The sequence below is a fragment of the Homo sapiens genome, chromosome 9 (genome assembly GCF_000001405.40).
Source record: "Homo sapiens chromosome 9, GRCh38.p14 Primary Assembly".
In the NCBI taxonomy this organism is placed as follows: domain Eukaryota; kingdom Metazoa; phylum Chordata; class Mammalia; order Primates; family Hominidae; genus Homo; species Homo sapiens.
This window is the reverse complement of record NC_000009.12, coordinates 33,662,019-33,672,380: the sequence shown is the minus strand read 5'-3', so window position 1 is coordinate 33,672,380 and position 10,362 is coordinate 33,662,019. Positions and strand designations below refer to the sequence as shown.

General features: G+C 43.0%; 1 pseudogene, besides 3 other annotated features; it reads right to left on the bottom strand.

The window, feature by feature from the left end:
• Window positions 9,678-9,686: a recombination feature (RSS nonamer).
• Window positions 9,687-9,709: a recombination feature (RSS spacer).
• Window positions 9,710-9,716: a recombination feature (RSS heptamer).
• TRBV25OR9-2 (T cell receptor beta variable 25/OR9-2 (pseudogene)) lies at window positions 9,717-10,178 on the bottom strand (annotated as a pseudogene). Its single transcript is given in 2 exon segments — window positions 9,717-10,005; window positions 10,130-10,178. Coding segments are annotated over 2 exon segments (338 nt in total).

Sequence of the window (10,362 nt, the reverse complement as noted above, 5' to 3'; positions counted from 1 at the left end):
TCTTCTAGAGTTTTTATGGTTTTAGGTCTAACATTTAAGTCTTTAATCCATCTTGAATTAATTTTTGTATAAGGTGTAAGGAAGGGATCCAGTTTCAGCTTTCTACATATGGCTAGCCAGTTTTCCCAGCACCATTTATTAAATAGGGAATCCTTTCCCCATTTCTTGTTTTTGTCAGGTTTGTCAAAGATCAGATGGTTATAGATGTGTGGTGTTCTTTCTGAGGCCTCTGTTCTGTTCCATTGGTCTATATCTCTGTTTTGATACCAGTACCATGCTGTTTTGGTTACTGTAGCCTTGTAGTATAGTTTGAAGTCAGGTAGCATGATGCCTCCAGGTTTGTTCTTTTTGCTTAGGATTGTCTTGGCAATGTGGGCTCTTTTTTGATTCCATATAAACTTTAAAGTAGTTTTTTCCAATTCTGTGAAGAAAGTCATTGGTAGCTTGATGGGGATGGCATTGAATCTATAAATTACCATGGGCAGCATGGTCATTTTCACGATATTGATTCTTCCTATCCATGAGCATGGAATGTTCTTCCATTTGTTTGAGTCCTCTTTTATTTCATTGAGCAGTGATTTGTGGTTCTCCTTGAAGAGATCCTTCACATCCCTTGTAAGTTGAATTCCCAGGTATTTTATTCTCTTTGTAGCAATTGTGAATGGGAGTTCACTCATGACTTGGCTCTCTGTCTATTCTTGGTGTATAGGAATGCTTGTGATTTTTGCATTTTGATTTTGTATCCCGAGACTTTGCTGAAGTTGCTTATCAACTTAAGGAGATTTTGGGCTGAGACAATGGGGTTTTCTAAATATACAATCATGTCATCTGCAAGCAGGGACAATTTGACTTCCTCTTTTCCTAATTAAGTACACTTTATTTCTTTCTCTTGCCTGATTGCCCTAGCCAGAACTTCCAACACTATGTTGAATAGGAGCGGTGAGAGAGGGCATCCCTGTCTTGTGCCAGTTTTCAAAGGGAATGCTTCCAGTTTTTGCCCATTCAGTATGATATTGGCTGTGGGTTTGTCATAATTAGCTCATTATTTTGAGATACATTCCATTTATACCTAGTTTATTGAGAGTTTTTAGCATGAAGAGCTGTTGAATTTTGTTGAAGGCCTTTTCTGCATCTATTGAAATAATCATGTGGTTTTTGTCTTTGGTTCTGTTTATGTGATGGATTATGTTTATTAATTTGCGTATGTTGAACCAGCCTTGCATGCCAGGGATGAAGCCCACTTGATCTTGGTGGATAAGCTTTTTGATGTGCTGCTGGATTTGGTTTGCCAGTATTTTACTGAGGATTTTCACATAGATGTTCATCAGGGATATTGGTCTAAAATTCTCTTTTTTTGTTGTGTGTCTGCCATGCTTTGGTATCAGGATGATGCTGGCCTCATAAAATGAGTTAGGGAAGATTCCCTCTTTTTCTATTGATTGGAATAGTTTCAGAAGGAATGGTACCAGCTCTTTGTACCTCTGGTAGAATTCGGCTGTGAATCCGTCTGGTCCTGGACTTTTTTTGGTTGGTAGGCTATTAATTATTGCCTCAATTTCAGACCCTGTTATTGGTCTATTCAGGTATTCAACTTCTTCCTGGTTTAGTCTTGGGAGGGTGTATGTGTCCAGGAATTTATCCATTTCTTCTAGATTTTCTAATTTATTTGCATAGAGGTGTTTATAGTATTCTCTGATGGTAGTTTGTATTTCTGTGGGATCAGTGGTGATAGCCCCTCTATCATTTTTTATTGCATCTATTTGGTTCTTCTCTCTTTTCTTCTTTATTAGGCTTGCTAGCGGTCTATCAGTTTTGTTGATCTTTTAAAAAAACCAGCTTCTGGAATCATCGATTTTTGTAAGGGTTTTTTGTGTCTCTAGCTCCTTCAGTTCTGCTCTGATCTTAGTTATTTCTTGCCTTCTGCTAGCTTTTGAATGTGTTTGCTCTTGCTTCTCTAGTTCTTTTAATTGTGATGTTAGGGTGTCAATTTTAGATCTTTCCTGCTTTCTCTTGTGGGCATTTAGTGCTATAAATTTCCCTCTACATACTGCTTTAAATGTGTCCCAGAAATTCTGGTACATTGTGTCTTTGTTTTCGTTGGTTTCAAAGAACATCTTTATTTCTGCCTTCATTTTGTTGTTTACCCAGTAGTCATTCAGGAGCAGGTTGTTCAGTTTCCATGTAGTTGTGCGGTTTTGAGTGAGTTTCTTAATCCTCAGTTTGAATTTGATTTCACTGTGGTCTGAGAGACAGTTTGTTATAATTTCTGTTCTTTTACATTTGCTGAGGAGTGCTTTACTTCCAACTATGTGGCCAATTTTGGAATAAGTGCAATGTGGTGCTGAGAAGAATGTATATTCTGTTGATTTGGGGTGGAGAGTTCTGTAGATGTCTATTAGGTCGGCTTAGTGCAGAGCTGAGTTCAAGTCCTGGATAACCTTGTTAACCTTCTGTCTCGTTGATCTGTCTAATATTGACAGTGGAGTGTTAAAGTCTCCCATTATTATTGTGTGGGAGTCTAAGTCTCTTTGTAGGTCTCTAAGGACTTGCTTTATGAATCTGGGTGCTCCTGTATTGGGTGCATGTATATTTAGGATAGTTAGCTCTTCTTGTTGAATTGATCCCTTTACCATTATGTAATGGCCTTCTTTGTCTCTTTTGATCTTTGTTGGTTTAAAGTCTGTTTTATCAGAGACTAGGATTGCAACCCCTGCTTTTTTTTTGCTTTCTGTTTGCTTGGTAGATCTTCCTGCATCCCTTTATTTTGAGCCTATGTGTGTCTCTGCACGTGAGATGGGTCTCCTGAATACAGCACACTGATGGGCCTTGACTCTTTATCCAATTTGCCAGTCTGTGTCTTTTAATTGGGGCATTTAGCCCATTTACATTTAAGGTTAATATTGTTATGTGTTAATTTGATCTTGTCATTATGGTGTTAGCTGGTTATTTTGCCCATTAGTTGATGCAGTTTCTTCCTAGCATCGACGGTCTTTATAATTTGGCATGTTTTTGCAGTGGCTGGTACCAGTTGTTCCTTTCCATGTTTAGTGCTTCCTTCAGGAGCTCTTTTAGGGCAGGCCTGGTGGTGACAAAATCTCTCAGCATTTGCTTGTCTGTAAAGAATTTTATGTCTCCTTCACTTATGAAGCTTAGTTTGGCTGGATATGAAATTCTGGGTTGAAAATTCTTTTCTTTAAGAATGTTGAATATTGGCCCCCACTCTCTTCTGGCTTGTAGAGTTTCTGCCGAGAGATCCGCTGTTAGTCTGATGGGCTTCCCTTTGTGGGTAACCCAACCTTTCTCTCTGGCTGCCCTTAACATTTTTTCCTTCATTTCAACCTTGGTGAATCTGACAATTATGTGTCTTGGGGATGCTTTTCTCGAGGACTATCTTTGTGGTGTTCTCTGTATTTCCTGAATTTGAATGTTGGCCTGCTTTGCTAGGTTGAGGAAGTCCTGAATAATATCCTGAAGAGTGTTTTCCAACTTGGTTCCATTCTCCCTGTCACTTTCAGGTACACCAATCAGACATAGATGTGGTCTTTTCACATAGTCCCATATTTATTGGAGGCTTTGTTTCTTTTTACTCTTTTTTCTCTAAGCTTCTCTTCTTGCTTTATTTCATTAATTTGATCTTCAATCACTGATACCCTTTCTTCCACTTGATCGAATCAGCTACTGAAGCTTGTGCATGCGTCACGTAGTTCTTGTGCCATGGTTTTCAGTCCATCAGGTCCTTTAAGGTCTTCTCTGCACTGTTTATTCTAGTTAGCTATTCGTCTAATCTTTCTTCAAGGTTTTTAGCTTCCTTGTGATGGGTTTGAGCGTCTTCCTTTAGCTCGGAGAAGTTTGTTATTACTGACCTTCTGAAGCCTACTTCTGGCAACTCATCAAAGTCATTCTCCATCCAGCTTTGTTCTGTTGCTGGTGAGGAGCTGTGATCCTTTGGAGGAGAAGAGGCACTCTGGTTTTTAGAATTTTCAGCTTTTCTGCTCTGGTTTCTCCCCATCTTTTTTTTTTTTTTTTAATTGATTATTCTTGGGTGTTTCTCGCAGAGGGGGATTTGGCAGGGTCGTAGGACAATAGTGGAGGGAAAGTCAGCAGATAAACAAGTGAACAAAGGTCTCTGGTTTTCCTAGGCAGAGGACCCTGGGGCCTTCCGCAGTGTTTGTGTCTCTGGGTACTTGAGATTAGGGAGTGGTGATGACTCTTAAGGAGCATGCTGCCTTCAAGCGTCTGTTTAACAAAGCACATCTTGCACCACCCTTAATCCATTTAACCCTGAGTGGACACAGCACATGTTTCAGAGAGCACGGGTTGGGGGTAAGGTCATAGATCAACAGCATCCCAAGGCAGAAGAATTTTTCTTAGTACAGAACAAAATGGAGTCTCCTATGTCTACTTCTTTCTACACAGACACAGGAACAATCTGATTTCTCTATCTTTTCCCCACATTTCCCCCTTTTCTATTTGACAAAACCGCCATCATCATCATGGCCCATTCTCAATGAGCTGTTGGGTACACCTCCCAGATGGGGTGGCGGCCGGACAGAGGGGCTCCTCACTTCTCAGACGGGGTAGCTGCCGGGCAGAGGGGCTCCTCACTTCTCAGACGGGGCAGCTGCCGGGCAGAGGCACTCCTCACATCCCAGATGGGGCAGTGGGGCAGAGGCGCTCCCCACATCTCAGACGATGGGCGGCCGGGCAGAGACGCTCCTCACTTCCTAGACGGGTTGGCGGCCGGGAAGAGGCGCTCCTCACTTCCCAGACTGGGCAGCGGGGCAGAGGGGCTCCTCACATCCCAGACTATGGGCGGCCAGGCAGAGACGCTCCTCACTTCCCAGACGGGGTGGCGGCCGGGCAGAGGCTGCAATCTTGGCACTTAGGGAGGCCAAGGCAGGCGGCTGGAAGGTGGAGGTTGTAGCGAGCCGAGATCAGGCCACTGCACTCCAGCCTGGGCAACATTGAGCACTGAGTGAACGAGACTCCATCTGCAATCCCGGCACCTCGGGAGGCCAAGGCTGGCAGATCACTCGCAGTTAGGAGCTGGAGACCAGCCCGGCCAACACAGTGAAACCCCGTCTCCACCAAAAAAATACGAAAACCAGTCAGACATGGCGGCGTGCGCCTGCAATCGCAGGCACTAGGCAGGCTGAGGCAGGAGAATCAGGCAGGGAGGTTGCAGTGAGCAGAGATGGCGGCAGTACAGTCCAGCTTCAGCTCAGCATCAGAGGGAGACCGTGGAAAGAGAGGGAGAGGGAGACCATGGGGAGAGGGAGAGGGAGAGGGAGACCGTGGGGAGAGGGAGAGGGATAGGGAGCTTTTTGGTTTTATCTACCTTTGGTCTTTGATTATGGTGACCTACAGATGGGGTTTTGGTGTGGATGTCCTTTTGTTGATGTTGATGCTATTCCTTTCTGTTTGTTAGTTTTCCTTCTAACAGTCAGGTCCCTCAGCTGCAGGTCTGTTGGAATTTGGTAGAGGTCCACTCCAGACCCTGTTTCCTGGGTATCACCAGTGGAGGCTGCAGAGCAGCAAATATTGCAGAACAGCAAATATTGCTGCCTGATTTTTCCTCTGGAAGCTTTGTCCCAGAGGGGCACCCAGCTGAATGAGGTGTCAGTTGGCCCCTACTGGGAGGTGTCTCCCTGTTAGGCTACACAGGAGTCAAGGACCCACTTGAGGAGGCAGTCTGTCTGTTCTCAGAGCTCAAACACCGTGCTGTGAGAATTACTGCTCTCTTTGGAGCTGTCAGACAGGGATGTTTAAGTCTGCAGAGGTTTCTGCTGCCTTTTGTTCAGCTATGCCTTGCCCCCGGTGGTGGAATCTACAGAGGCAGGCAGGCCTTGTTGAGCTGCGGTGGGCTTCACCCAGTTCGAGCTTCCCCAGCCACTTTGTTTACCTATTCAAGCCTCAGCAATGGTGGAGGCCCCTCCCCCAGCCAGGCTGCCACCTCACAGTTCGATCTTGGACTGCTGCACTAGCAGTGAGCAAGGCTTTGTGGGCATGGGACCCACCGAGCCAGGCGTGGGATGTAATCTCCTGGTGTGCTGTTTCCTAAGACCGTTGAAAAAGCCCAGTATTTGAATGACAGTGTCCTGATTTTCGGTATAGTCTGTCATGGCTTCCCTTGGCTAGGAAAGGGAACTCCCCCGACCCCTTGTGCTTCCTGGGTGAGGTGATGCCCCGCCCTGGTTCAGCTCACCCTCCATGGGCCACACCCACTGTCCAATCAGTCCCATTGAGATGAACCAGGTACCTCAGTTGGAAATGCAGAAATCACCTGTCTTCTGCATTGATCACGCTGGGAACTGCAGACCAGAGCTGTTCCTATTCGGCCATTTTGGAATGGACCAACAAGATTTATATGAGAACATTTATAGTGGCATTATTCATAATAGGTTAACAACTGGAGCAATCCAAATGTCCAAAAATTGATGAGTGGATACATAAAATATGCTATATCCATAGAATGAAAAAATTTTCTGCAACAAATATGTAGCAAATAACTAAAATATGCTACAACATGAATGAACACCTCAAATGTTAGGCAAACTTAAAGGAGTCAGAAACAAAGACTGCATATTGTAATATTCTGTTTTTATAAATTTTTCAGAAAAATCAAATCTATGGGCCGGGCATGGTGGCTCAAGCCTGTAATCCCAGCACTTTGGGAGGCCGAAGCAGGCAGATCATGAGGTCAGGAGATTGAGACCATCCTGGCTAACATAGTGAAACCCTGTCTCTACTAAAAATACAAAAAAATTAGCCAGGTGTGGTGGTGGGCACCTGTAGTCCCAGCTACTTGGGAGGTTGAGGCAGGAGAATGGCGTGAACCAGTGAGCAGAGATCATGCCACTGTGCTCCAGCCTGGGCAACAGAGCAAGACTCCATCTCAAAAGAAAAAAAAAATCAAATCTATGGAGGCAAAGAATAGATAGGGGGCTGCCTGGGGTGGGGAACCTCAGAGAATAACTGCTAAAGGGCAGAAAGGATCTCCTGGGGGCAATGTGAATGTTTTAAAGTATTTTGAGATGCTTGTAAAACTCAATAAATTTACTATAAATCATTAAACTGTACCTTACAGAGAGTGAATTTTATGGCATTTAAATTATACTTCAATAAATCTATAAAACTGAGCAATAGCTGCTATTTTTATAATAAAGCAAGACCAGGTTTGCTCATATATAAGTAATATCTATTAACATAAACATGTCACTTATTTCTTTACTCTGAACCCCACAATTCACGTGGCATCTTTCCAGGAAGCATTCATCATGATCTGTTCCAGGGTCAAAGCTAGAACTTCCTCCCATCAGAGAACGAGGAGGATTGCACTGGATCAGCTTCCAGCATGACATCCAAAAATACCCAGCAGGGGTGACATCCATCCCCACTCAGAGACTTTGATTTGTTTTGTTTCTGTCTGATTTATACCATGTGACCATTCTTAATCAAAATGCCCCAGGAAAACCATGCACCAAAAAGAGATATATCCTAGAAAATAAGGAGGATGGTGATGAAGAGACCCTCCCACACCACTAGTTGGAGGACAGGAATAAACTGAAGCAGATGAAGACTTCTTGTGTTAGCATAGTGATTAATGAGATGCTGGAGTAGGAGTCAGCCCTGTAGACAAGAAGTGCGGACTTCAGAGATAGAGGGACAGCAGGTACAGGATCTCAGATGGGTAAGAGAACATGGACTATAGAAAATGGTCAGAAGTTCAGGATTGCCAGGATGAAAAATAGCTGGGATAAGGTGTTCAAGATAAGCTAATTTCTGGAGTCCAGATCACAAAATACCATTAAGCCAGGTGAAGAAATTTAAATTTTATCTTGAATATGAAGGAGAAGCATGGAGAAATGGTGAGGGGATCCAGTAGCATGATCACATTTGTCTACAGTTATCCCTCAGTATCTTGGGGAATTGGTTCCAAGACCTCCCAAGGATAACAAAATCTACAAATGCCCAAGTCCCAGATAAAAAATGTTATAGTATTTGCATATAATCTTTGCATATACTCCCAAATACTTTAAGTCATCTGTAAATAATTCATAGTACCAAATACAATACAAAGTTATGTAAATAGTTGTTATACTGTATTGTTTAGAATAATGACAAGGAAAAAAGTCTGTATGTGTTCAGTATAGACACAATTTTTGAAAAAAATATTTTTGATCTGTGGTTGGTTGAATCCAGGGATGTGGAACTTGTGAATACAGAGGGCCAACTCTCTGATGCATATCACTTTTGCAAGAAGGCCAGAAGGGTAAGGCATGAGGCTAAGAGTTCAGTAAGCAAGGGTTTTTAATCTTCTAGGTGTTTGCTAAGGACACCTGACCATTGGAGATGAGCCTCCCAAGATAGATGATGGTGTCTCCAAAAGAGGACATGGTATTGGGAGGATGATGAACTCTCTGTTGGGGACAAGTTGAGTTGAGGAGCCTATGAAATATAGAGATGGAAATATCTAGTAGGCAGCTAGAGAATAAGTTTGAAACTAATGAGATATATACTTCAAGTAATAAATTAGATGATATTGTCTAAGATGTATGCATAGGTTAAGAGGAAAAGAATAAAAAGCCCAGAAATAAGGACAAAGTAAGGAAAATGAGAATAGAAAGAGCCCACAAAGAAGAGTGAGGAATGGCTAGTATTGTAGAATACAAACAGAAAAGAAGAATGAACAAGCAATGACTTTTACAATAAAATATGTATTATGTTTTCTAGATTCTTTTCTAACATATTAAAGCTACTTTTTAAGGAGGCAAAACCAGGACAGAGACTCTGTGACTTTACTTTTTGGTAACCTCAAAACAGAAGTTTCACATCTGAGCTCAGCACCCAGGGCCCCACAGTAGTCTGTGCTTTTGTGAAAAATAAATCAATCTATTCAAGGTCCCAGGTCTGATCTCATGTGGATAGAGAACACTTCCCTGAGATTCAGCATATCCAAGAGAGAAGAATCATCTATCTGTAGGATAGTCTCCCACTGGTAAGGGTAGTCTCCAAAGAGATTTAGGGCTGAATCCAGGGACATTGTTGAAGACTATTCTTTTCCAAAGTTGGAGCCTTTTCTCTTCCTTAGGCCTCATGCAGATTTAGCTCAAATTACATTTATTTAGAGGGAGATTAGTGAAAATAATCATTAATCACTTATTTCAAGTGAAAATAAAAATTTATTCCAAGTTCAAAGTCATAGAGAGGAACTGAAGTCATCAGGTGCAGGACTGGGGTCAGGAAAGGGCAAGGACTTTGTGTGGCTGTGTATGAAGGAACGAGTTTAACATGAGGAAGGAACCATGAACCAGAGATAAAGAAAGCCTGTGCAGAAAGTTAAAGGATCCTTTTCCTGTTTCTTAGCTGACAAAGACTTTCTTCAGCTAGCCATAAGGCAACTGTCAAATATCATCACATTTATCTTGAAGGATAAAATTTGTGCAAGCTCAATTGAACAGCAAGAACTAGATGCAAGGAAGAAGTCAGCCAGGATGACTGTGGGGCTGGGTCATTTCTCAGCTTGTTAGAGACTGAGCCAGAGATAGTCTTTAGTCCAGACTGTTACTTAAAGCACACTGGTCCCTCAAGGCTGAGGAGTCTGGGAAGATTTGCAGGGGTTTCTGTAGTTTAAGATAAGGTTTCTGAAGGCAAGATGTCCTCACCTTAGAGGCGACCCTTTCTGTGCAGAGTGTCGGTATCTATGTAGCACTGTGTATTCACTGCTGGCACAGAGGTACTGAGAGGTATGTGAGGGGCTGGCAGACTCCAGGGTCAGGGGAAAACGCTCTATCCTTATTCTGGAGACTGTTGACTCAGAGCAAAGATCTCCCTTCTCTGTGGAATTAACCCATAGGAATGGTGGATGAGGTGTAATTCCATTCCTGGATCTTGACCAGTACATTTTGTCATGGCCCATGGTTTGAGAACATTCCAGAGTGATCTTCTTTCCTGCCCCTATAACACGGTGTCTTGGGGTCTGGTAGATTTCAGCTTCCTTAAGGCCTATGGGAAGAGACAAAAACTGGCAACAGAGTTCATGATGAACTTTGAGGCTGAGCCATGCACAAACCCAACACAGAGGAAGTGTTCCTTCTAGATTTTGGAATGAACTGTGCCTATTACTTACCTGCCTCCAGAAAATAAAAGGCCACTTGGCGGAGGAACCTGATAGTCATGGCACAGTTGGGGCTACAGAGGATGTCTCCCAGTAGTGGGGAGGCAGGATGGGCTCTTGATAAAGTCATTGTGTGTGTGTGATGACACAGCCCCTGCAAACTTCCTGGGTCCCACAGCCATCCTGTTGAAACAGTTTCATCTATATCCTTTTAACCCATCAAATGACTAATATTTTTGTTCACT